Here is a 27,784-nt window from a genome sequence, read left to right on the forward strand (position 1 = left end):
CCTGCCTCAGCCTCCCAAAGTGCTGGGATTATAGGCGGGAGCCACTGCTCCCAGCAAGGAAATGTAGTCTTAAGAAAATACCTATCTGATTCCATTTTAAATATCAATGAGTTTTTGTTTTTGTTTTTGTTTTTGGTAATCAAATAGGCACTCGAAAACCATAGGATTTCTTTTAATTAAGAAATACTTCTATTAATAAATGGATCTAATTCATCATTGGGTTTACTATTATCTGATAGTAGAAAATTAATACAAAAGAAAATGGAGGGGAGGCAGCGGGAGGGAAAGCATCAGGAAAAATAGCTAATGCATGCTTGGATTAATACTTAGGTGAAGGGTTGGTAGGTGCAGCAAACCACCATGGCACACGTTTACCTATGTAATGAACCTACACATCCTGCACATGTAACCCAGAACTTAAAATAATAGAAAAGACCTTGGAAAATCAATTTCTCTAGTTGACATCTTTTTTTTATACAAAGAAACTGAAGCAATATGTATCATTAGCAGCAAGAATATTGCTCAATAGCTATTTTTATCTAATATTCCCTGGAATCTAGTGTTTGATGCACTCCACTGCTATGACTTTCAATACTGATGATTGTGATGGTGGTGGTGGTAGTGATGGTAGTGACTGAGAGGAAAAAGGATTTCAGGAATCAAATCCCAAGAAAATAGTGTGTTTCCCAAGAAGTACTCTAAGCAGTTTAATACCTTTGACTTTGACCTGAAAATGGCTGCATTCAGAACAGGGAAGAAGAGTGAACTCCTCTGCTTGGTACATGGAATAGTCTGTGCTTGCGACCACAATCTGGTCTCCAGGTTTCCAACTACTAACATCATCTAGCAAATTTAGCTTCACTCCATCTACAACCTCTACCCGGAATCCTGAAAGAGAAACGCCTAAACCAAAAAAAAAAAAAAGAAAAAGAAAGTGATACATTAACAGTATTTTTTTCTCTCTAAAATGAACCCTCACACTGATTCACAAATCAAAAGTTAAGATAACCACGATTCAGCAAATTTTTACGCATGCTACCATGTATTAGTCACTCTACAGATATAAGTAATAAAAATATGAAAACAGAGAGATCCCTGCCTTCAAGGGGTGAGTGCCCCATGTACCTCTAGCCATGAAGGAACACAAGATGTCACCTTAGTAAACCATTATTTTATACTTTTGAAGAAGGCTCTAGATCCCCAAATCTCTTGCTATATTTAACTCAGTGCAACAACTGTTATACTGACCCCAAACCATCCTAATATGTGACAAGTACATATATTCCAGCAGAAGTTGTCAAGCAGAGGATAGGTCTGTAATAAATACCCAGTGCTTCAAGTTGATCCAAGCACAGAAAAATGGATAGAACATTAGCACACTAACAATCTTAATATTAAGAATAAGAATTTGTGGGCCAGGCGTGGTGGTTCACACCTGTAATCCCAGCACTTCAGGAGGCCAAGGCAGGGGGATCACTTGAGCTCAGCAGTTCGAGACCAGCCTGGGCAACATAGTGAGACCCCTGTCCCTACAAAAAAACATTGGCCAGGTATGGTGGTGTGTGCCTACATCCCCAGCTCCTTGGGCAGCTGAGGTGGGAGGACTGCTTGAGCCAGGAAGGTTAAGGCTGCAGTGAGCTATGATCGGGCCACCACATTCCAGCCTATGAGACACAGCAAGACCCTGTCTCAAAAATAATACATAAAATAACAATTTGTGGCTGGGCACAGTGGCTCACGCCTATAATCTCAACACTTTGGGAGGCCGATGCCAGAGGATCACTTGAGCCCAGGAGTTCAAGACTAGCTTGAGCAACAGAGCGAGGCCCCATCTCTAGAAAATATTTTTAGAAGTAGCTGGGCATGGTGGCACACGCTTGTGGTCCCAGCTACTTGGGAGTCTGAGGTGGGAGGATCACTTGAGCACAGGAGTTTGAGGCTGCAGTGAGCCACGACTGTGCCACTGCACTCCATCCTAGGCAACAAAGCAAGATCCTCTCTCAAAAAAATAACATAAAAATCTGTCTCAGAAAACCCTTCATCTCTGTGCCTTTGATGGTGATTTATTCTTCCCCTAAAATGTCCTTCCATTCTTCTTGACCAACCAACATACTGTCCTTTTTATGAAGTTCAGGCAATTCTTTAAGGACTTCCCAAACATCCTTGTTGGAAGCAACCTCTCTCTCTCCGGTATTCTCTCGGTATACTGCCTGGTATTGTTCATACCTTCCCAGTGGGAGGACTGCTCACCTCCTTGGAAGCTGCATCAGTGAAGGTAGCAGGGTACATTATTTACGTATGCACTACTCTGTCTTGTTTGTGGTATGTATCCACGGATGTCTACTGAATGGATGAGTATGACCAGTATGATCTGCAATGTAACCTGAGGTCACATGATGGTGCCCCTGTCCAACTCAGCTCCTTTCCTGGGATGATGTAAATTATGTAATCTAATGACTACTAATTACTGATCTTTCCTAATATCTTCTTTGAAAGTCAAAGTTAGTTCCCAGTTAAGCAGACAGGAACTGAAAATCTGATCCAACTTCATAACTTGGCTTCTTTTACATGCTATCCAGTATAGAAATGTTTTCTGCTTCTTAACATTCATGATATAATCTGTCATAAATCAAAAACTGATTTAACGGAAATGTCCATGAAATAGATGAGAACTACTTCATAACACTGACAGAGAAGGAAAACATGACATTTCAAAAGATAGCTGTTTAATAAATATCAGTACTTCTCTGTCGTCTAATTAACAGCATACTACCCTGTGGCTACTTTAAGATGCTGACTCTAGGATGGGCGTGGTGGCTTATTCCTGTAATCCCAACACTTTAGGCAGCTAGGGCGGGAGGATCACTGAGTCCAGGAGACCAGCCTGGGCAACATAGTGGGACTTCATCTCTACAAAAAAATCAAAAACTTAGCCAGGTGTGGTGGTGCATGCCTGTACTCCCAGATACTGGGAAGATTGCTTAAGCCCAGGAGGTCAAGGCTGCAGTGAGTTGTGATTGGACTACTGCACTCCAGCCTGGGAGACAAGAGTAAGATCTTTCTCAAAAAAAAAAAAAAAAAAGAAAGAAAGAAAGAAAAGTCTGTAATCCCAGCACTTTGGGAGGTCAAGGTGGGCAGATCACCTGAGGTCGGCAGTTCAAGACCAGCCTGGCCAACATGGTGAAACCCCGTCTCTACTAAAAATACAAAATTAGCCAGGTGTGGTGGCACGTGCCTGTAGTTCCAGCTACTCAGGAGGCTGAGGCAGGAGAATCGCTTGAACCCTAGCCTGGGTGACAGAGCGAGACTCCGTCTCAAAAAAAAAAAAAGAAAGAAAAAGAAAAAAAATATGCTAACTCTAAGGGATGACAATATGAGTGAAAGAAGAACACATTCACTTTGGAGAATCAAAAGTGGGGAAATTCAAGCAAGGAACAACCAATAATATGTATTCTTACAGTCTTTAAAAAAAATTATAGACATGGTCCCACTATGTTGCCCAGACCTAACCTTAAGTGATCCTCCCACTTCAAGCTCCCAAAGCTCTAAGACTATAAGCATGAGTCACCGTACCCGGCTCTGCCAACTATCCAGATAAAACTTAACCTGGGCAAGTCTTGGATTCTGTTTTTGTACTCTTGATCTACCCTGCTTTTCTATCTCTATAAAGCACAGAAATAAAGTGCCTAACAAATCTAAAATGTTTTCTGAATATGTGTCTTGCCAGATACTAAAGCCTGTAAGATTTTATACAAATAATAATATTAATAATAGTAATTCTAACAACAATAATGATAGCTAATAGTTGTTGAGATCCCACATGCATAATACCCATTCATCAAAACAACCGTGAGAGACAGGAGCTATTATATTTATTAGAGATGAAGAAACCAAAGATCAGGGAGTTTGAATAACAGCTAAATATGGTAGAGCCCCCAATTTAAAGCTAATCTAATTCCAGAGCCCAATTTCTTTCAAAGCCTCTATATTATACTCTCCAAGAATCAAAACAAGCAGGTTAAGAACAAATAAAGAAAACCTCATGGAGGCAAAAACAACCCCTACCCCAAATTTCACATTTTTGCCAACAAAATAAATTCCCCTAAGAGCAATTAAGAAACATTCTTTTTTTCATATAAAATTTCAGTAATGCAACCATGCCTGTCATCCCAGCACTTTGGGAGGCTGAGATCGACAGATCGCTTGAGGTCAGGAGTTGGAGACCAGCCTGACCAACATGGTGAAACTCTGTCTCTAATAGAAATACAAAAAAATTAGCCAGGCGTGGTGGCACGCACCTGTAATCCCAGCTACTTGGGAGCCTGAGGCAGGAGAATTGCTTGAAACCAGGAGGTAGAGTCTGCAGTGAGCGACAATCGCACCACTGCACTCCAGCCTGGGCGACAGAACAAGACTCCATCTCAAAAAAAAACAAAAATTCAGTAATGCTTTAGAAAAAGATGACTAACCGGGTATGGTGGCTCACGCCTGTAATCCCAGTACCTTGGGAGGCTGAGGCGGGTGGATCACAATGTCGGGAGTTCAAGACCAGCCTGGCCAAGATGGTGAAACCCCATCTCTACTAAAAATACAAAAATTAGCCAGGCATGGTGGTGGGTACCTGTAACACCAGCTATTTGGGAGGCTGAGGCAGATAATTGCTTGAACCTGGGAGGCAGAGGTTGCAATGAGCCAAGATCAGGCCACTGCACTCCAGCCTGGGCAACAGAGTGAGACTCCGTCTCAAAAAAAAAAGATGACTACTAGACAAATAAATTTTGATTTGAAAGATCACTAGAATTTGTTTCTATCTGTTAAATTTTTTTAAAGCCAGAAGGTTAGATGGGGAAGATTTGTATTAGTCACTAACACATTTTTTCTTGGCTTTAAAAGAAAATCCTGTCTCGGATTATCTCCTACTAGCACTACTGAATGGGAAACATAAAAAAAGTTCATTCTCTGATTCCTGAAGAAAATTTTCTACCTCTTCCAGAAAGTAAGTCACTGAGAACATGAGACATGAACAATATCTTACGATAACTAGAACATACCATCTTTCAAAAATGAGTATTTATCACTAATGTGGAAATGTAAATAACATTTCCTACAAAGGAAACGTTGACTAGAAGTCTGTCAGTAATTATCCCCTGTCTAGAATACCAGCTATTTGGGAGGCTGAGGCAGAGAATTGCTTGAACCTGGGAGGCGGAGGTTGCAGTGAGATCATGCCACTGCACTCCAGCCTGGGTGACAGAGTGAGACTCTGTCTCAAAAAAAAAAAAAAAAAAAAAAAAAAAAAAGATGACTACTTTTTTTTTAGTGGTACTGGAGACAGGACCACTAAACTCCACTTACAGGACAAAATTCCTGCTAAGAAACGCTTCTTATCTACCACCTATGCTTTTTGGCAGAGGCAAAGAAACAGCAGTCATCTTGGAGGCAGAAAGCTGGGGCTTGATTCCAGCTTCCTCATCCCTAATAGATCATCTCTTCACGCCAAGCCCAGAAGATTGTTTCTAGACTAGAGAATGGTCTATTCTAGTTTCAGCACCCCCAACTCAGCTTTGTTCTAAAACAAGCTTGTCCAACTCACAGCCCGTGGGCCACATGTGGCCCAGGACAGCTTTGAATGCAGCCCAACACAAATTCATAAACTTTCTTAAAACATTATGAGATTTTTTTTTTAGCCCATCAGCTATTATTAGTGTTACTGTATTTTATGCGTGGCCCAAGACAATTCTTCTTCCAATGTGGTCTAGGGAAGCCAAAAGATTGGAGACCCCTGTTCTAAAAGATTACTGGATTTTGTTCTAAAAGATTAAGCACAGTAGGAAAACTAAGTTTCAACTTCAACTAGTTGAGAAATCTAACCAGGCGGACTGTCATTTGAACATAATACTATTCTTAGAAAAAAAAAATCTGTCATAATACTTATCAGTGTCTTACAAGAGTATAAACTCTACTTGCCTACCTTCAATCCATTCACTATAAGCTGTCACAGAGAACTTCTGGCCATCCACAGTATAAAATTCTCTTTGGGCAAGAGCCTTCCCGCCACTGCTATGATTTTCATAGTTTCTCACGGATTCATTGCAAGAAGTGCTTCCACCATCAATGACACCAACTAAAGCCCAAGCTTGCCTAGAAGGAAAAAGAGCATGTGCATTTGATTACTTGTCATGGTATTCACAAAATCCCTGACAAAGATGTTATTACAGAGTGCTGTTTAATTCTCATATTTCATTTTCGTCAATCCCTAATGTTTTTTCTATATGAGGCTGCAGTTCCAAACCTTGACTGCACCTAGTTCTCCTAGAAGGAAATGCAGCTACTTTTTAAATACTTGTTTGTCCAGCTCTGTAATAGGTGAAAGACCGATGACTACAATTTCAATTAATCATTGACTTACTTCCTCAATACACATCCATATCACACATAACATTCTGGCCAAAATCCATTTACTTTCTCTTAAAATGATTATCACATGCTCTCTTTTAAACTTTCTATTAATACAATGTTCTCAAAAATCTAATTGCATAATAGAATTACCCAGGGAGTTTGAAAAATATATCAATGCACAGACCCCATCCCAGATAAAGGGAATCATGTTAATAATTGCAAAAGGTTGGGTACAGCATTTGTAGTTTGCAATAATTTATTTTTATTTTTTGGAGACAGGGTCTTACTATGTTTTTAAAGTTCCCAGGTGACTGGAACATGCAGTTAGGCTTAAAAACCACTGATTTGGGCAGTGGTTCTCAAACTTCAGTACGCATCAGGATCAACAGAAGAAAGGAAGGGCATGCTGAATTAGATTGCTGGCCCCACTCTCTCAGTTTCTGAGATGGGACCAGAGAATTTGTATTTCTAACAGGTTACCACATTATGTTAATGCTGCTGGTCAGGGCACCATACTTTGAAAACCCCTAAATTATAGACTAGAGGTTAGAGTAGTGATCATCAACCTTCAGTAGCCTGGGAGTCTTATCCTTCTTTTATCCTTCTTCCTGACATAATTGATCTAAGGTGCACCCTAGGTGTCAAGATTTTTTAAAGTCTCCAGGTGTGCAGGCAAGGTTGAGAACTGAGTTAGATTTTTTTTTTTTTTTTTTTTTTTTTTTTGAGATGGAGTTTCGCTCTTGTTACCCAGGCTGGAGTACAATGGCGCAATCTCGGCTCACCGCAACCTCCTGCCTCCCAGGTTCAAGCAATTCTCCCACCTCAGCCTCCCGAGTAGCTGGGATTATAGGCATGTGCCACCACGCCCGGCCAATTTTGTACTTTTAGTAGAGATGGGGTTTCTCCATGTTGGTCAGGCTGGTCTTAAACTCCCCATCTCAGGTGATCAGCCTGCCTCGGCCTCCCAAAGTGCTGGGATTACAGGTGTGAGCCACCGCAGCCAGCAGAGATTTCTTAACGTTCCTAAATTAAATCAAAGCTGTAGAATCACTATCCAACAGATTTTAAATTTTATATACTATATGTCTATTTGTTGACAGCAATGTGTTTGAAAACACCATTATTTCTTTTTCTTTTCTGGTTTTTTTTTTTTTTTTTTTTTTTTGAGACAGAGTCTCACTCTTGTCGCCTAGGCTAGAGTGCAATGGCGTGATCTCGGCTCACCACAACCTCCACCTCTGGGGTTCAAGCGATTCTCCTGCCTTAGCCTCCCAAGTAGCTGGGATTACGGGTGCCCACCACCACACCCAGCTAATTTTTGTATTTTTAATTTTTAGTAGAGACAGGGTTTCACCATGTTGGCCAAGCTGGTCTCGCACTCCTGCCCTCAGGTGATCTGACCTCCTTGGCCTCCTAAAGTGCTTGGATTACAGGCATGAGCCACCACACCCGGCCTAAAAACATTTCTGATACTAAATATCTGAGAGACATGCTCAAACTTGTGACCAAAAGCAATCAACGCAAAGGGACAATTTTTAAAAACCAGAAAATCTGCTTTAAGACTCCTGGTTTAAAACACGAAAAGAAAAATGTCAACTTCCCACTCTAGAAAAAAAATAACAAATGTAATCTGTGTCTGACAGATGGCTAGATATTCACAGATAAAAGTTAACCGAAGCATGCCTACACCCTTACAAATTCCACAGCCGCCCCTGTATGGATTAGCTACTCTTTGGACGACAATGCTTTGTAGCTTGTTTTATACCACTTGATAAAGCAGAAAGAATCAAATAAAGAATGTCTCAATATATTATCTCCTATTTGGAGAAGAAAAGAGAGGAAGAATTATCACAGGCTTCCTTTCTTTACCAGAACTGCCTCAGCAACTATAAAACAATGTTCTTTCTCTTCTATCGACATTATCTCCAAAACACTCCTACTTCCCTCCTCCACTTGAGGGAAAATTTCAGCGCACCAGAACATTATCTTCAAAGGCCTATGTGTTTATGTACATTGGAGATAACGTCAATGCAATGGAACGCTGGCAAAAGATCACAACTCTAAGTTCTCTATGAAATCAAGAGCAATATTTTAAAAGGAATTTAGAAACCAGTAGGGAGAGGAACCTAAGAAAGTCAAAATGGTCACAGCTAATGATCATGCAAAACTAGAAACAATAGTAGCATGAAGAAATACAAGTTGTAATCCCTGGCATTACTGGATAATGAAACAAAGTAGGTATCTAACTTAGAAAAGATCATGCTTCCACTCCTAGGTTTATATATTATAGAAATACATGCACATGTACATTAAGAGATGGATCAAGGAACATTTAAGGAAGCAATTTTGTAACAGGTCCAAACTGGAAAGCCACTCAGATGGCCACCAATAAATAAACTGTGGTATATTCATACGACAGAAAATAAACAGCAAAGAAAATGAGCCTCGGCCGGGCACATGGCTTATGCCTGTAATCGCAGCAATTTGGGAGGCTGAGATGGGAGGATCACTTGAGGCCAGGAGTTTGAGACCAGCCTGGTCAATAGAGTGAGACCCCCATCTCTATTTAAAATTAAAAAAGAAAAGAAAAGAAAATGAGCCAGCACTACATGCAACAATATGAATAGCATTCAATAACATAACACTGTGCAAAGAAGCCGGACACAAAATATAACATTGTCGGCTTCCATTTATATAAAGTTGAAAAACAGGCAAACCTAAACTTTAGTAGATCCCACAGATTCAGGAGCATGGCTCCCTTCGGTGGGGAAGAGAGTGATTAATGCATAGCAGAGGGGAGGAAGGGAACTTCTGGGCTGCTGGCAATGTCCTATTTCTTGACCTGGGTGGTGGCTACACAGGCATCACATTGCGGCAACTTATTAAGCTCTACATTGTTATTTTTGGCACTTTTTTGCATGTGTATCATATTTCAAAAACAAAAACCAGAAAGAAAAAAAAACCCTTTGAGGTTTTGCACATGGAATTCCCTTGGTCTGAAAAAGCTTTCTTCTCCACTGTCTACACAGCACGCTCCCGAACTTCTTTCAAGTCTCTTGCCTTTGGGGAGCCTGTACTGATTCACTAGGCCAATTGAGAGGCTCCTTCTGTTAATACTCACGCTCCCATTGCACCCTGTAACTGCAGCATGTCTCACTGTATGATCATCATCTATTTAGGTCTCTGTTTATCCACTAGATTAACCATGGGCTCTGAGACAGTGTCCTTTCGTCTAAGCATCCATGGGTATCCAGCACTTAGCATCTCCTAAATATCCCCTACATGAATAAAAGCCATTTCTAAAATGTTACAGACTGTTTTTCTTCACTATTTTTTGTCTTTCTAGCCTGTTCTAGAATTGCTGTAGGTAATACCCCATTCCAACAACCTACTATCAAAGGAAAAAATAGTAACTAGATCATTACGGCATGTCGGTTTTGAGGTACTCTTACTTTTTCCACCACAGATATTCCCTGACTTTACTAAAAGCATTCAGCAGAATTAAAAGCTTCTGTCTTTTAAATGAAATGTTAGGTCGGCTACTTCCCCTAGACTCAGAACTGCGTTAGGAAATCACAGTTAATTAGAATATGGCACAAGAAGGCTGGGTGTGGTGGTTCATGCCTATGAAGCCGATGTTTTGGGAGGGTGAGGCAGGAGGATCACTTGAGCACAGAAGTTTAGACCAGCCTGGGCAACAAAGTGAGACCCCCTCAACTACAAAAAGTTTAAAAATTAGACAGGTGTGGTAGCAACTGTTTGTAGTCTCAGCTACTTGGGAGGCTGAGGTGGAAGTATCACTGGAGCCTGGGAGGTTGAGGCTGCAGTGAGATACGATTGTACCACTGCACTCCAGCTCGGGCAACGGGGCAAGACCCTGTCACTAAAAATAAAAATAAAAGGAATAGGGTACAAGAACCATAAATAGCAGAAATGAATTCTACTATCTGGATGAATTTCCTAGCCCTTTAACTTTTTCCTTCCTCATATATGCCAGGGGTCCATAGACCTGTGCCAATCAAACATGCAGATTCCAATCAGCCTGCAAAGGAGTCCGAAAAAAGAAAAAGAAAAAGAAAAACTGCATATTCTACCCCCTCAGCCTTTTAAGACAGGTTTAGAACTTAGCATGAAATTCTGCCCTAACCTTTAAACTCATTAAGTTGCCTCAATTAGCCTGAGTTTCATATGATCTTCAGAAGGTAACGAAAGGAAGAAGTATCTTCAGAGGCAAATTGTCCTTAAACTGCCTGACTGTTTTTCAGTACCACACTTCTGCTCTCAACTTTTCACAAGTCTGGCACTCCAGTTCACAAAGGGCTTTGTAAACCAAAGCCAATGAAAATAGCTTTTGTATGTGGTGTCCTATCCTCCAGCCCCATGTCTCAAAGCTACCAGACATGCAAATGGTAGAGTGGCCCTTCTGATGCCTGAGTCATGCTGTGGCTGTGGCTCCTTTCCCCACCCTCACTCTCCTCTCACACAGACACGGACTCTGATAGGGATCTGGGAAGAAGGTATGCCTACCTGTAGCCCAGTCCTTGGATCAGTTCACTTCCCAACCGTTCCTGGATCATCTGGATGGTTCCTTGTAAGAGACTTTTAGCGGCTGAATCCCCGACAGCTATGGCAACAATCCGACCTGGATCCTGGAATCTCAGAAACTCCTGAAGCCGCCTGCTCTCATTGCGGTATTCATGGGTATCAAATCTCTCACTTTCCAAAATTTTGGCCGTGTCTTGGTCAATGACCCTCACATTGAGGCCCCGGGAAAAGTCCTTTTCAAAGGTATAGGACCCAAAGGGCAAGCCTGAGGAATTCAGGGTCCTTGCCAACAACGTCCACGATGCCTTCCGTGCCCCATGTAACTCCAGTGTCCCGCCAGCTTCCACACCAATAAACTTTTTGCCAAATGTTGGCATACTTTCACCTTCATCTGACTTGCCATACAAGGTAATTGTCGCTTTGGATTTATAGCGGCATTTTTCTGCTCCAATATGAAGCGCCCCACCATCCTGGATCAGGATGTAATGAGTCCTCAAAGTAATATTTCTGGATCCATCTTTATTGTCCCCAAATACAAGCAGTCCTGCAGGGAACACCACCCTGTAAGCCAACTTCTAAATCATCTTTCTGAGATACAAGGAAATAGATTTCACCTTAAGTTAAATACACTTCCGCAATTAGGTCGGAAAAAAGAATTCGCTAAGAATCTGCTTAGAAAACTAAAGGGAAAAATGAAGAGTTCATATCTTAATATACTCTCAATGCCCATGACTGTGAATTTCAACCTACTCACTTTAGAGGTTAAATCATTTCTCTTAAAAATATCTAAGAGTCTACAAATCTGAATCTTATTTTTGTATATGTTTACTCATGTTAACTCTCAGAATTGTGACAAAATCACTCTCAGAATTGTGACAAAAATTTAGCTCTGAGAGATCACCTCTCTGGAACTGTTTCCTTGTCTATAAATCAGGGGTCTTGATTTGAGTGATACCTAAGGTCTAAGCTCTTAAATTCTATGTTTTTTATCTCTGGATAAATTCTCTGGTTTTATCTCATGATCTTTCCAAATCTCCATGGTTAGAGTGACACCACAAACTAAAGCCTATTCTGCCTAAAAATAGTCTTCTACATAAGGAACATCAAATATCCCCCACATTAAAGAGCAACCTTGCAGTTCCCATAGGCAGGAACCATTACCTACCTCCATCCTGAATGACTATAGAATGCACGGTGGCGTCTGAGGTCAGACGGAGCATATCTCCCTCCTTGATAACAACTTGCTTTGCAGAATCTTGTCCTGGATCCCAATTCCTGAGACGAGGATTTTGATCTGGGCAATTTTCTATAAACACATTGATATTCCATCCAACCCATTAAAATGCAGGAATAATATAGCCGAATCTAAGCACTACCATTATTTACTGCAGATCTGCAAAAAATGTGCTAACATATGTTGATTTCCTGCCATTAGAATGGAAATCCCACGCCTTCCCACCAGCAGAGAACCATCTTACCCTTTAATTTGTCATCACATTTCCATTTTAAAGTTTTACCACAAAACTAAATTGCTAGCATCTAGTTCAGGACAAACTTCACCAAAAAAAAAAAAAAAAAAAAAAAGTTTCCCTGAATCATCTACTCTGGAAATAAACCAATAGTAAGAGGCAAAATTATACATTCTCTTGGGATTCACACTAGAAAGCTGTTTTAGAAAAGAAATGTGTTCACAACATCCTGGTAAATCAAAAATGAAAATTGCTAAATAATACATTGATCAGGTCTTCACAAGTTCCTTCTTGCACACAGTGAATGATGAAGTAAGTACTGATAGCACCTCTCTCCAAGACTGAGAAACATCACTATCTTCAGCCATGTGCACTCTCCCAACAAAATGAAAGAGGCAAGTGGCTAAAGACATAACTTCTCATTTTCAGAGATGAGGAAATTACAGGTTAGAGAAACCAAAGATTACTTAGCAAGCTGAGTGATACGCAAGTTTCCCCTTTTAGAAAATGAGATTATTGACTTGTAGTGTTCCTTTACTGGAATTAGAACTTGCCTCTTGAATAGGTATTATAATAACAAAAATATAACAGTATTTAATTAAAATAGCCATAGCTATTTAATGTATGAAAACTTTAAGGTCCGCCATAATTTTGAAGAGGGGAGAAAAAAAATCACGCCTTCAATTTTGATCAACCTATGGCCAAGTATTTGTGGAGCATCAATTTATCCACTCTGTACCAGATATTTTAAAATTTATAAAGCATAGAATCAGCTCACATTTCCTCAGAGTTTATATGCAAGCTTTGGAGGGAAAAAACACCAAGTATGAAATAATGAAACACTGAACAATATGGTAGTCAGTCGAGGTTCAAAAGACCTCAGGCAAAGGAGGCATGGGGCTGGAGTAACTGAGGCAGCTTCATGAACAGGTGACTTGAGAGCTGGACACCAAAGGATGGGCAGTATTTAAATAAGAGGATCATGAGAACACTAGTAATGCAATTATCCCTTGAGATCCAAGTAGTCCATTTGGTTGTTCAGAATTCCAAGGTGGCTTTATTTAAACTCAGCTAAGGTAAGAATAAGCAAGATATGCTTGAAAAACCATAGGAAGAAATTCCTTTCATTAAGGTGGCAGGTACATGTTTAGGAATAACAAGAGAAAAAGTAGAGAGGTAGGGTGCTACACAAACATATTGTTCTATACAGAAAAAAAAATGATTCCTCATTTTGAACTTGCATAACACTAATGCAAACATCTTCCTGTTTCTGAGCTCTCACAATGCCCTAGGTTTATGCTTTCTCTTATTAACCACAGCTACAATTAGCCTCACCAGTTATATCCTTGGCAATTATTTCATGGAATTAGTTTTTCTCACAGCAGTATCATAACTGTTGATATTTAATGCTTCTGATAAGTCAATGAGTATCACTATTATACTAAAAACAATCTTTAAGCTTTTCTTCCCATCAAAGAAACAAAAAAACTCTTAAATTTGTTTTGCCTTAATAATGAGGATTCCTTAACTTTTCTACCTCCCTCTTCCCATACAACATCTAGCTGAAATTCTCCATAGTTTTATAACAAGCACTGTACCCAGCTATAAAGAAGGAAATCCAGTCTTTTGAGATCTGGAGCCTACTTCAATGATTATATAATTTCTCTTAATTGTTTTTAATTATTTCCCAGGAGAGCATGGTTCATTAGAACCATCACCAAAAATTCCAGTCTGTTTCCTTCCAGTAAAATGCACTTAATGAGAAAATGTGTAGTCTGTACAAAGCACTGAAAAGTAGCTCAGCCAACCCCACCTTCCCAGCTACCCACTTGAAGAGCAGTGAGTATATTATCAAAGTTATGTAACAGCAATAACCACAGTCAAGCTGACCCTGAAATATTTCAGCATACCAGATCTTTCCACTGATGATCTGCACTTTACACTGCCAAAATGTGAAACTAAAGAATGTTGGTTCAAGGAACCATATCAGCAATGCCCTGTTTTAGATGGAATATGAAAACACCAATCAAAGCCATAGACTTCAGCTCTGATTTCCCACTGGTCTAGCATCCCTTTACTGCAGAAGAGTTGGGAAGTATGAATCAGCACAGTGAACTTGGTTATTATGAATCAGCACAGAGAACTTGGTTATTCTGCTGGGAAAAGGAGAGAGGAAGTCATACCGCATGCAATGGAAATCAATGTTATAAGTTCATAATGTGGTCTACTTGTTTGGTCCATAAGGATATTAATGTGCATGTCTCTCTCATTTGAGGTTTATTTTCTTAGAAGTACTAGCACTACCTCTCCCAGAACCTTAAAATTTTAAAAATCCCTTGAAAGCACCCAAGAAAACTAAATAATAAAGTATTTGTAAGTCTTATAAGTAGTAAAATGCCTCTGAACTGTTACAGCCACTTAAGGAAGCATTTAACTTGACAAAAATCTGTTGTAGACAAATATGGTACCCAGTCCAGGCTGTTAGAGTCTTCTCTCTTCACAGCCCCGAGTCCTTTGATTTTAGACAGATGGATGGTATTCTTTTATGAGGCAATTCTTTGTTGGTATTCCAATAAGGCTGACTTGCAACCATCTTCTTCAAAACTTTTCAAAATATTGATATATCATTAACTTGAAAAGAAAATACCATTTAAGAAATTAAAATCTCCCTGCATAATATTTAACTATGAAGTAATGACTGATTTTTAGACAAAGGTGTCAGAACTTATATATCCTAAAGGATGCTTCCCTTCCAGGATATATATTGTTACTCAAAAATATTTGAAACTTTTCCTTTGGAACTGCTTCCCAAGCCCATTTCAAGCCACAAACACAAATATTATTATTTTTAGTCACTTACTTAAACAAAAAAATCTAATATAGTTCACTATACGTATGACTAAAAAAAAAAAAACTTGCGGCCGGGCATGGTGGCTCACACCTGTAATCCCAGCACTTTGGGAGGCCAAGACAGGCAGATCACCTGAGGTCAGGAGTTCGAGACCAGCCTGGCCAACATGGTGAAACCCTGTCTCTACTAAAAATACAAAAATTAGCCAGATGTGGTGGCACTTGCCTGTAGTCCCAGCTACTCAGGAGGCTGAGGCATGAGAATCATTTGAACCCAGGGGGCGGAGGTTACAGTGAGCCAAGAACACACCACTGCACTCCAGCCAGGACAACAGAGCAAGACTGCCTCAAAAAAAGAAAAAAAGAAAAAAAAAATTGCAGCAGTCCAAAAATCATACCTACCATAAGAATTTAGTGAAGGCCCTCAAAGCATTTCCAAAAGAGGTACTCCAAGACCTCCCTGAGTGCTGCAACAAAGTGGCACAATGGACAGGAAGAGCAACCATTTAATCATTTCCAACAGATTATTGAACAATTGCTCTCATTCATAAGAAGTGACACCTCGTATTACCTAACTACATATTAGTTAGCTAGGGCCAACTTAAGATAAATTTTTTTTTAAGTATTCTACTATTTCCTCCTCTTTTGTCTTCTAGAATATGTTCTATGTGCATATACACACACTTACCATCTGGAGCATATTTTGAGGATATTCCTAAAATGATTGCAAGTGCAATAAAAAATGAGAAACTAGTAATAGCAAAACAAATGAAAGTATTTTTGTGTCTCTTTTGCTTTTGACTTTCTCTCTGGGCTTGCTGTTCTTCAGGTGAGAATGCGAAGGTTGCCCGGTCTTCTCGTCTGATGGAGGTAAATTTGGCTGAAGCTTGACTCTTTGGAGGAGGAGGGGGACGCAATGGGACAACCTTCCCTGGAACATAGCCAGATGGGTGACGACTATTTCCATTCTGAGGTTGGAGGAAAGCAGGGGAGTGTCCCCTGGAATCAGTGGCATACATGATACACTGTTACTGTGAAAAGAAAAAAAAATTAAGCTTCAGTATGTGTAAATTCTTTTTTAATTTCTTTTATTTATTTATTTATGAGATGGAGTTTCACTCTTGTTGCCCACACTGGAGTGCAATGGCATGATCTCGGCTCACCGCCACCTCTGCCTCCCAGGTTCAAGTGATTCTCCTGCCTCAGCCTCCCGAGTAGCTGGGATTAGAGGCATGCACCACCACGCCCAGCTAATTTTTTTTTTTTTTTTTAAGTAGAGACAATGTTTCTCCATGTAGGTTAGGCTGGTCTCGAACTCCCAACCTCAGGTGATCCACCCACCTCAGCCTCCCAAAGTGCTGGGATTACAGGTGTGAGCCACCGCAACTCGCCTTTAATTTCTATTTTTTAGAGACAGGGTCTCACTCTGTTGCCCAGACTGAAGTGCAGTGGCATGATCATAGATCACTACAGTCTCGCACTCCTGGGCTCAAGCAATCCTCCTGCCTGAGCCTCCCGGGTAGCCAGGACTACAGGTACATCCCACGATGATTGGCTAATTTTTAAATTTTTTGTAGAGATGGGATCCTGCTATATTGCCTAGGCTGGTCTCAAACTCCGGAGCTCAAGTGATTCTTCCACCTCAGCCTTGCAAAGTGCTGGGATTACAGGCGTGAGCCCCAGTATCCAGCTGGAATGTATGAATCATAAATGGTTTTTTTAAAGTACTTTTTAAATTGTGTTAAATATACCATAAACTTACATTTTAACTATGTTAAGCGTACAATTCAATGGCATTACGTACATTCACAAAGTTGTGTGACCATCACCACTATCCATTTTCAGAACTTTTTCATCATCCCAAACAAAAACTCTATATCCATTAAGTAACTCTCCATTTTTCCCAGCCCCTGGTAACCATCATAATGACTTCTTGAAAATATCAAGTCAGCTTACATCCCTGATCTAATAAACCATGTTGACAATCACCTTCATTACTTGTGTTCTAATGTCACTCCTTCTCAACCCTGGCTGCATAGTGTAATCACCCGCTAAGGTGAATGCTCAGGGCACCACGGCTAAACAATTCAATCAGGATTGCTGTCCCTGGGATCTAAGTATTTGCAGCTTTTAAATGCTCCCCAAGTGATTCTCATGAACATCTAGGTGAGAGCCGCTGTTCTATGCCAACTGTTCTCAATTTTCACTGTGCCTAAGAATCATCAGAGAAGCTTGCTAAAAACCTAGATTCCTGGCCTCTTTGCCCTATAATTCTGGCTCAGCTGGTGCAAACAGGGCCCTGGATTTTACATTTTAAAAAAATATATCTTGGCAGGTCACACTTTGAGTATCATTATTCTAAGCTCTTCAAATTGAAGCTAAAAGTCCATGTGTCATGAGGACCCAAAGTTGCCCTAAAAGTTCCAATAGCTAGGCACTCAAGTTTGGGTGTTTTAATTTCCCCACTAGACTTATCTAGTGATTAAGCAATTTAAGTATTACTATCTGTGTTATCACTTAACGATATAGATTGTGAATTCATTTAGTGAGAAAGTCTAAAGTCTATCTTATCTCTTTAAATCCTTAAATTTTGTTTGAAAAAACAGACAAATATTATGGTTAAGATTATAAAAATAGCTAACACAATTAGTGCCTTATGTGTATTAATTCATTTAATATATTTAATACAACAAATCTATAAGGTAGATGCCATTACCTCCATTTTACACATGAGAGAAACTGAGGCCCAGGGAGGTTAATTAACTTCCCCAAAGATCACACAGTTAATATAGAGGAGAACCAGGACTTAAACCTAGGTATTTTTACTCTAAAGTTCAGGCTTTTAACTTACACCACTGTGTCTTTCCAAACAATCGAGAGGCAAAGAATGAGCTTTGCAAGGGTGCTAAGTCTAAAAGGCCTATTAATCTCAGGAATTCTTCATAAGGAAGTTTAAACTATACATGCTTCATTTTTAACAGAAGCTTACACACAAAAACAAGGAAGTCCTTTTTAATTTTTTACGTTCTCTATAAAGAGCAATTATAAGTTTTTGAATTAAAGAATAAGTTTTGAATGAAACCTTACTTTGTTAATTTGCCAAGAGGAAGGAAGGAAGGAAGGAAGGGGGAGGGAAGGAGGGAGGAAGGGGAAAGGGAAGGGGAAGTGGAAGAGTTCTTATTGCAATGACTGGGGATAAATGTATGGTGTGCCCTATGGCTTCAGAAACATGGTGTTTAACCTCTTACATCCCTTCCTTAACAACTGGAGCATCTCAGAGTCACCTGACTTCATTCAATACCCTTACAATTAATCCCCTTCATCTTCTGCCAAACAGTGAATAAGATTCTAGTCATAAAGGTACTTCCAAATTGCTCTAAACTATCAGCAAACCCATTAAACACAAAATGGTCATTAGAGAAGCCACAAACAAGCAATTCCCAGGACCCAAACGACCTGGAAATTAATGGGGGCAGAAAGAGAATCTAATCAGGAATTGATGCTGATTTTACATGGGGCAAAGAACATTCTCAGAGTCAGTGTTTCTGTCAAAAACACTTGGTTTGTGGGGTTTGATTTCTGAACAAAAGTAATTATTTAGATGAAGCTCAAGCTTCATGACAAAAGAAAAACACCACCATTCAAGGTGCTATTGAAGAACTGCTGCATGTGCCAAGCAGCAGACAAAAATAATGGAGACATTCTGCTGGAACAAATGAAAGAGTACAATAAAGACCCCGTTATGATCCTCTCTGAACAAAGAAAGGGCTAACGTAGGTATTCTTGAGTGTCAGCTCACCAGGGTGGGAGGGGAATCACAGCCCTAATCTGCTCTGAAAGGGAGTGGGAATCTTTTGTTTCTGAGGCTGCAATCATCTGATACCTTATTGTTTCAGGGTGAGAGATATTACTAACAGGCTGGTGGGGGCGGGGGTCTTTGGTGGGAGATAATGGGTCTCCAGATGTGCCCACAATAAAATAAAAGGCATGAGAGGCTAAATGAAGTCACCAGCCTACTGGGAATAATTTGTGTCTTCATGGTCAAAAAATGGATCCCAACATGAAAATTCAGATGGCATCTGTCACAAACTAAAGGGGTCAATAAATCAAAAATAAGCATGGTCGTGTTTTTCCTATAAAGTTCCTGCAAAACATGTATGTAAATGTGTATACACATGTTCTGAATCCATTACCTCTACTTTATTGAAAAATATGTAAATGTATAAGCAGCAAATACAAGATTCTTTTCATAAGAGGTAATATAGTGTTGCACCATGTATTAGAATAAAATAACCAAAAAAATCATATTTTAAACAGATAGCTTCCTCAATTTATTCAATTTTTTAAAAATATAAGATACATTGCTTCAGGATTTCACTTTATGTTTGTGGATTTACTTCAGGCACAATATTATGTATTAATTACTTAAAAATATATTTTATTGATAATTATAGATCTAAATTATTCGTGAAAAAATCAACATTTCATTCATTCAGTAAGCTAATTGTGAGCTCTTGCTATCGTTAGAGGATTGTGGTAGGAACTATGGGGTATACAGAAAAAAGATTTACAGCATCCCCAAGAAATGCAATTCCTAAATTCAATTTTAAATCACTTGTTTTGACCACATGTTCTCACTCATAGGTGGGAATTGAACAATGAGATCACTTGGACACAGGGCAGGGAACATCACACACTGGGCCTGTTGAGGGGTGGAGGGCTGGGAGAGGGATAGCATTAGGAGAAATACCTAAAGTAAATGACGAGTTGATGGGTGCAGCAAACCAACATAGCACACGTATACCTATGTAACAAACCTGCACGTTGTACACATGTACCCTAGAACTTAAAGTATAATAATAAAAAAAAGATTTTTTAAAGAAAATAAAATAAATCACTTGTTTGGAAGGCAAGTGAAATTGACCAAGTTTCCCAGGCAATCTCAACAATGGCTGTTTAATCCCTAAAGTTGTTAGTACTTGTGTTTGGGGTCCTGAGAACAAAAGAGGAGTCTACTAGGGAAAAGACAATGTAGTCCTCTCTGGCTTTCAAGGCAAACTTAAGCACCATTTTAATAATTTCGCTACAGACCAGTATTTCACTTTAATACTCAGTTTGTATCACATGTTATTTTTTTTAAATGGTCGTATTTCTAGTGGAAAACACATGCTATGAAGAAGGAGCATATGAGTATTTTATGACACATTTTTAGACAAACTACAGACTGTGACAACACCTAAAATAAGACAGATAATCCAAAATGGGGATAATCTAAGTCATTCATATTAAAATTGGCAATGTACTCTACAAAGCTTTTAAAACATAATTTTTGGTATTTAGATATTCCTTGAGAGAGTCGTTTTGTGAGTATTTATTTACTGGATTATAAAAAGTAGTAGCCCAAAAGGCTTGGTTATGAATCAAGCAAGCAAGTAAGCAAAGCAATTAGAAAATTGCACAGGCAATTTAGGCAGTATTAAATTAAATAATAAAGAAGTGACTCAGACTACGAAAACATATCTACTTAAAATATACAAATGCTGTTAAAAAAAAATACAAATGCTGGAAAAACATAAGCATTCCAAAAAGTAGCTAGTGCTTTTGTCTAATTCTCAGTTGCCCCCACAAAAAGATACCTTAAAAACTCACTGTTATTTTAAATTAAATTCTTCTCTTGGGAAAAAAAACTGGTGTATTACCTCAAAAGCAGTTCAAAGTGAGAGAGACTTGTATAATTGGTAAGAGCATCCACTTTATTTGGTAATAAATTACAGTAACTAAACATAGAAAGCAATTATTTTGAGATTTCAATAACATTAAAGGAAATCATGCTTTTTTTTTTTTTTTTTTACCTATAAAAAGAGGCATGATTTTGGCCAAGCAAGGTGGCTCACACCTGTAATCTCAGTGCTTTGGGGGGTCAATATGGGAGGATTGCTTGAGGCCAGGAATTCAAGACCAGCCTGGGAACCTAGTGAGACACCCTGTCTCTACACACACACACACACACACACACACACACACACAAAATTAAATCAGCTGGTTGTGGTGGTTCCATGCCTGTAGCCCTAGCTACTCCGGAGGCGGAGGCAGTGAGGCAGGAGGATTGCATGAGACCAGTAGTTCAAGGTTGCAGTGAGCCATGAATGAACCACTGCAGCCCAGCTTGGGTGACAGAGTAAGACTCTCTAAAAAAATAAAAAATAAAATTAAATAAATAAAGGAGAGGCATGATTTTAATAAAATTGAGCTATTCTCATTTAATGCTTTCAAACACCACACTATCTCATCCATGAACCCTTCTCAAGTTTCCATAAATTAGCAGGGCACAATGGCTCACACTTGTAATCCCAGCACTTTGAGAGGCTGAGGCAGGAGGATCGCTTGAGCTCAGGAGTTCGAGACTAGCCTGGGCAACATAGTGAGTGAGACCTTATCTCTATTAAAAACCAAAAAAATTAACTGGGCATGGTGGCATGTGCCTTTAGTCCTAGCTACTCACTAGACTGAGGCATGAGGATCACTTGAGCCTGGGAGGTGAAGGCTGCAACAAACTGACTGCACCACTGTACTCCAACCTGGGTGACAGAGCATGACTCTGTCTCACAAAAAAAAAAAAAAAAAAAAAAAAAAAAACCTCTTACAGGATCATCTTACTTTTTGCCTTATGTTTCAGTTAATTTATGTACTTGTCCATCTGCAGCAGACCACAAGCCTCTTGAGACCAGGAGTGATTGGTATTCTCGCAAAAGCTTACATACAACATACAGTAGATACTCAACAAATGATTGTTGAATTTAGATCACAAATTCCTGCCAAGGAATTAAGCAAAAATGCTAGATAGATAGATAGATAGATAGGCTATATATATATGTATATAGGTGTATATATATATATATATATGTATATATACACACGTATATGTATATACCTATATATATATACCTAGCATATATATATGTGCGTGTGTATGTGTGTGTGTATATATATATGTATATACATACATGTAGTTATTGAGGAGGAAACAAATAGTTGAAAAAATTAAGTCCACTTTCATTCAGAAATCAATTTGATTTTGTCTAAGCATACTCCCAAAGAATCTCTTCAACTACAGATTCCTCTCTCTCTCTCTCTCTCTCTCTCTCTCTCTCTCACACACACACACACACACACACACACAAACACACACACAAGAGAAAGAGAGACAGAGAGAGAGAAATTTCCTATTTAATCCTTCTTTGACATCCTTGAGGCTCTGGGCAATTTGACTAATTTCTATATCAGTTTCTCTGATTCAGGAGAAAATTGAGAACAATACTACTTAAAGCAAAAAAAGTCTATGTGTTAATTCTTATAAAATGCAATTCTAGTATGAAAACTAATAGGTGACTAAAAGGTATTATTAACAACTGCAGGAAGGAATTCTAAAGATAAAGAGCAGCAAACTACCTAGATAAATTCAACCTTTCACAATATTTTGTAATAGTTTTAACTACACATTATGAAATGCAGTAGGCACACAGAAAAAAAGAAACATTCCACTCCACTTTATTTTGTTATGTTGACAGCCATTCAATGCTGTGATCAAAGAGAAAGGCTTCTCAACACAGAGAAAGCGGCAGCAGTTCAAAACTAGTAGGAGCTCTTTAAAAGGGATTTTAGTGTTCTTTCAGCTGCTGAGATGTTAATATGCAAGACAAAGGTACTTATCACTTACATGGTGGTTGAGGACACTTGCCCCCTAGGCTATATCATCAGTCCCCCAAATAATCTAGCCCTTCCAACCCAATGCAGAGAAGGTGCCACAGCCACACAGTCCAAGAAATGCATATTGGCCCCATCATCCCCTCATATTGAACAACTAATGAAAATACAATACTTTTGATTCATTTAAGCTCTCTCAAATCACGCCTAGGCTTTTTAAGAAAACTAATTTTTGAATGGAAGATTCAGGCTTGTGGGAAGAGCCAAGAAGTTGGCACGATCTAATCAGGTCAGTTCTTTTTTGATCAAGGACATAATTTTTTAAACAATACTCAACCTAAGGGTCAAGTTACAATTTTTGCTTTCGGAGAGTTTCAGTACAACTGGCCAAAATTTGGCTAAGAACATTTTTTCTTTTATTACGATCTTAGAAGATCTAACACATTCACTAGTATGCCCAAAAAGTAAAAACATGCAGCAAAAAGTAAAAAGAGGAGTGAGCATGAATTATCATGAAAACAGATGATACTATAATTATTTGTACTTTTGACCTAATAAAATATTTAACCAGATTCTAACTGCCTTGAATTTTCAATTAATAATTCCACATTCCCAACCTCCTACTTTCAGGAGAAGAACACAACAAAGAATAACCATCAGGGATCACCATTTAGATCTTCTGGTTTGGTTTGGTTTGGTTTGGTTTGAGGGGAAGCAGGGTTAGGGCGTTTCATTTAGTTTTGTTTTAGATTCAGATTATGTCCATTGACAAACAGTGAACTCAACAAATACCCTGTACATAAAAAAGTGTTCAATTAGAAAATAACCTTAGCAAAGCAGACTTTTTAGGTCCTCTAATTCCGCAAGTTTCAAATAAATAATTAAGTGTGACCAATACTCTCAAGAAGATTATGTACTTAAATAACTATTATAAAGGTTTTCAAAGAGTTTGGGTAGGGAGGAATCTTTCTATACGTAGTTTAGCAGAATATAATGTATCACCTATTCTATTCCCAGAGCACACAGGATAATATACATTTTTTAAAAAAACAACCACTGCAAAGAATTCAACATAAATGCTAGGTCTATACATACAGCTATTTATGAGAAAACGGACATATGGTTGAAACAATTAAGTCAACTTTCATTCAGAGATCTGCTCGATTGTGTATTAGCATACTCTCAAAGAATTGAAAACCCTTAGACCTCTAAACAGGTGTGGGGCCAAGGACCTTGGCCACCTGAAGGTTCACTGAAAAATCAACTCACAAAAGCCAGATCAACAGGGGAAAAGACACAAAACTTTATCTAATGTGTTATACACAGGAGACTTCAGAATGAAAACCCAACCCCCTGGTGGGGTACAGAAGTGTGTAAATACCTTCTAGAAATTGGAGAAAGAATGCAGGCTCAGAGCATGGCCGAAAACAGGTTACAGTAGTAAATCAGGTTTTAGCTGTAAGACAGGTTATGTAAGGAGGCTTGGCAAGCAAAGGTGGTCTTGTTATGTAGATGAACCGAACCTCACAGGTAGCACCCCTGAGAGGAGAGACGGCAAATGTCTCTTTCAGATCTGTAAGGAGTCAGACTTAATTAATCCTTCCTAGAACCGGACAAGAGAAAGCCTGGCTGCATTAATGCATATTTTCTATAGATGCAAATTTCCCCCATAAAAGACTGCTTTGCAGGGTGACTTCTGTTTGCTGCTGTTTGCTGACATCTCAAAATATGTCAAAGAAATATATTTGGGGGTAAAATATTTTGATTTCCTAAAATAGAAGATTTTCCACAGGACATGCCTTCACACTGTCCCACAAGGCGCATTCTCCATTATTTCTTTGCCCTTGTCACAGCGCTTTTGTCTTTTTCCTTCAACTCTCAAAAATCAGTATGAGTCACAATCACCTGCAACTGTTTGGCATGTTTCCAAGAAATAAGACACTCTGCACAGTTAGTTTACTTACACAGATCTTTGTTTACTTTTATTAAGCAGATTATAGCCAGGTCAATGTTCAGAGGTAGAAGGGAAATGCACCAACTCTTAATTATAAACCTCTGCCTATGAAGGGAAAGGACAAGGGACTGAGAACCCCTAATTGTTTATATGTCCCTACCTGCTTTATCTATTTGATCGATTTAGACACATATAAGTGATATTCCCAAGTTAAGCTATTGTTATAATAAACATCTGTATGCATCAGACTTCTAGATTCACACCACGTATCACTCAGATTATCTCCTTCCTTAAAGAAAAAAAAAATCTTGCCTGCCCCAAAAACCTATTAAAATATAATACAGCGAAAGTATAAGAAACTGTGGGGGTCATAGGCTTTTGGCTCCCTGAAAGTTCACTAAAATCCCTGCCATGAGGCAGTTTGATTCACAGGAGAAAAGACATATTTAATGTGTAAGCATGGGAGCCTTCAGAAGGAAAACCCAACTTCCCAATGAGGCACAGAAGTTGTATGATATCCTGAGGTTCCAGGGAGAATGAGGGCTTGGATCCTGGTAAAAAAGGTTATGGGAAGGAGAAGAGGAGGAATTCTATTGAGGGAATAAATGATTACTAGGGAGAATGATTGGATGGGGAAACAGAAATTGACTTCTAGATAGTTCTTTTTGGAATTTAAATGATCCGTGGAGGTAGTCTTTATCTTGAATAGGGCTGTTCGGATGTGGTTAGATTTTTGGTCCTTCCTGCAACGGATAATGAAATAAAAGGGAAAGAAGCAGGGATAATTGTTCTCCTTGTTGGGGGGTACGGGGAGGTGGGGGGGGGATGGCAGGGGGTCAGTCCTATCTTTGTAGTAGGGGAAAAGTCTCTCCAGGAACTTTTTGATCTCTAAAGGCTTTTAATTTAAAATACTCATTTTACCAGGGAAGCCATATATTGCGGTGAAGTATTTTTATTTTCTTCAGAATATTTCAAACCTATAGTCCTAAAAAGACTAAATTTACTTAAAAAAAAAAAAAGATACTAAGCTTTGGATTAGAATAAGTATTATTTAAAGTTGAAAGATTTATTTTCCTGCTTAAAAATTTACTTTTGTATTAAGCTATAGTCTTTTTGCTAGAAAACTACTAAAAAACTATAGTTAGGAAATAAATCTCTGGAAAAACAAAAATTAACTATAAATACTAAGAGTTTGCTTAACCTGATAATAACAAAATAAGAAATGCCTATGGTCTGTATTTAAGGAATTCAGATGAGCAACTTAGCCACAGTTTCACTAAAGTGGCCACATCTTCGGCAAATCACATTGGACTCTCCTGTTAAAATATGAATCCCTCAAAACAAAGAGCTGCTATTTATAATGTTTAATGCCAAAAGTGAACCAAGTGAAAACTTCTTAAAGTGAAATAAATGACTTTAAAGAAATATTTAAAATTCATTCCTATGTTTCTGTCATTTATGCAAGGTAAAGGAGGCAGCTGTCTAATTTTTCTGATCCCAAATATACTAATTAATCCTATCTTTTTCCAACGATGTTAAACAAGTCTATGAGAAGTAATGCTTGACCCTAAAGCCAATGAGGCTGATACGGCCAAAAGGTTAAAATGTATTATCATGCCCAAAAAAAGAAAAACATAAAAGGAAAAAACTGCAGACCTACTACAGACCAAGCGGGGAGGAAGGGTAGCAATTAAGAACAGCTAACACTCTCTGAGCAACCAAAAATAAAAATAAAAAGAGAGCAAAGTACATAGGCCTCTAGGTGGAAGTAAAGAACTAGAAGATAAACTGCAGAGAGATAGATTGTTCTTCAACCCAGAAAATTAGAAAAAAGGGAAAAAGGTCGTTGTACCTACCAGTCATTCTCTATTCCCTTCGGTTTCCTTTTTTCCTATTAATATTTCTCATATTTCTTTTTCTCCTTAATTCTTTTTATTGAAAAGCTGTTCTCTTTTCTCCCTTCCTTCCCAGTGATCCTAGACCATCCCCCTTCGCCCTTGTTCTCAACTGGCTGGGAAGATTCAAGAGAGGCTTCCAACCTGCTGGCAGTGACGGATGGCAGTGCAGAGGCACACAATGGCAAGTGCAGGCGCGTCACCAGCCTTGCAGCTGGCCTTCCAAAGAAAGAACCAAAGTCGAAGTCTGTCCTGACAGAGGCTGATTTAATTAAGGTTATAGCAAAGGGCAGAACTGCCTGTGGGCTGCATTCTCTGCAGAGGGCCAAAGACAATGCATTAAAATACTTCTCAGGAAGAAAAAACCAAGAAAGTTATGTTGGCAAAATGTTGAAAGGTGGGAAAAATGAAAAGACAACAGGGATGTGTTTGAAAAACAAGCAAAGACCTGCCAAAGTTCATGATCTAGTGATGTACAGATACCAAAATGCAATGACAATAGGAAACAGAAGGGGTATGTTTTGATGTGCCTTTCACACTAGAAATATTTCAAATGAATAATGAGATGCCCAGACTGAAATAATCCAAGGCTGTTCAATCCAGCATCATAGTAAAGTTTCTATCAATGGCAGGGCCAGGACCAGAACCCAAGTTGACTATTTCTTTCAACTGTAACACATAGCCTATTTTTAATATAACTTAAACCACTTGGAATAAAGCCTTTTCAAACAGGGCACAAGGTCAGCTTTGAGCATCTCTTATGAGAAAAGGGTTCTGCTAGACACTGGAGACCCAATAGTACAAAAAATAAACATGGTTCCTACATTCAAGAAGCTCACAGCCCAGCATTTGGGGGTAGAAAGAGTAGGGAGACAACACAAGTAAACAAGTAATTAAACTGAATGTTGAGGCAAAGAAGGTGGGCTGAGGAGGTGATTGCTTGAGTTTATTAAATCCCTATGAATGGA

At 39.0% G+C, this 27,784-nt stretch overlaps 1 protein-coding gene across 6 annotated transcripts in view, besides 3 other annotated features; it reads right to left on the reverse strand.

The window, feature by feature from the left end:
• Window positions 1-27,784, reverse strand: part of CEMIP2 (cell migration inducing hyaluronidase 2) — an 86,101-nt gene that overhangs the window by 50,726 nt on the left and 7,591 nt on the right. For 3 of the 6 annotated variants that reach the window (XM_005251869.5, NM_001349784.2, NM_013390.3), the window contains exons 2-6: window positions 15,952-16,294; window positions 12,110-12,250; window positions 10,927-11,488; window positions 5,972-6,141; window positions 715-903 (exon numbers count right to left, since the gene is read on the reverse strand). In XM_005251869.5, coding sequence (XP_005251926.1) covers window positions 715-903; window positions 5,972-6,141; window positions 10,927-11,488; window positions 12,110-12,250; window positions 15,952-16,282 — 1,393 coding nt within the window. In that variant the 5' untranslated portion in view covers window positions 16,283-16,294. Of the gene's footprint in view, window positions 1-714; window positions 904-5,971; window positions 6,142-10,926; window positions 11,533-12,109; window positions 12,505-15,951; window positions 16,295-27,784 lie in introns of those variants that run through there. The other 3 variants (XM_047423136.1, NM_001135820.2, XM_047423137.1) reach the window with 2 other exon arrangements.
• Window positions 9,743-10,607: an enhancer, noted in NCBI's record as "H3K27ac hESC enhancer chr9:74358750-74359614 (GRCh37/hg19 assembly coordinates)". NCBI's record gives its function as "activates a minimal SCP1, AML or CMV promoter by ChIP-STARR-seq in naive H9 embryonic stem cells {active_cell/tissue: H9 hESC(naive)}" and the evidence as "EXISTENCE:reporter gene assay evidence [ECO:0000049][PMID:30033119]".
• Window positions 19,823-20,510: an enhancer, noted in NCBI's record as "NANOG hESC enhancer chr9:74368830-74369517 (GRCh37/hg19 assembly coordinates)". NCBI's record gives its function as "activates a minimal SCP1, AML or CMV promoter by ChIP-STARR-seq in naive H9 embryonic stem cells {active_cell/tissue: H9 hESC(naive)}" and the evidence as "EXISTENCE:reporter gene assay evidence [ECO:0000049][PMID:30033119]".
• Window positions 22,758-23,401: an enhancer, noted in NCBI's record as "OCT4-NANOG-H3K27ac-H3K4me1 hESC enhancer chr9:74371765-74372408 (GRCh37/hg19 assembly coordinates)". NCBI's record gives its function as "activates a minimal SCP1, AML or CMV promoter by ChIP-STARR-seq in naive and primed H9 embryonic stem cells {active_cell/tissue: H9 hESC(naive and primed)}" and the evidence as "EXISTENCE:reporter gene assay evidence [ECO:0000049][PMID:30033119]".

The sequence above is a fragment of the Homo sapiens genome, chromosome 9 (assembly GCF_000001405.40).
Source record: "Homo sapiens chromosome 9, GRCh38.p14 Primary Assembly".
Classification (NCBI taxonomy): domain Eukaryota; kingdom Metazoa; phylum Chordata; class Mammalia; order Primates; family Hominidae; genus Homo; species Homo sapiens.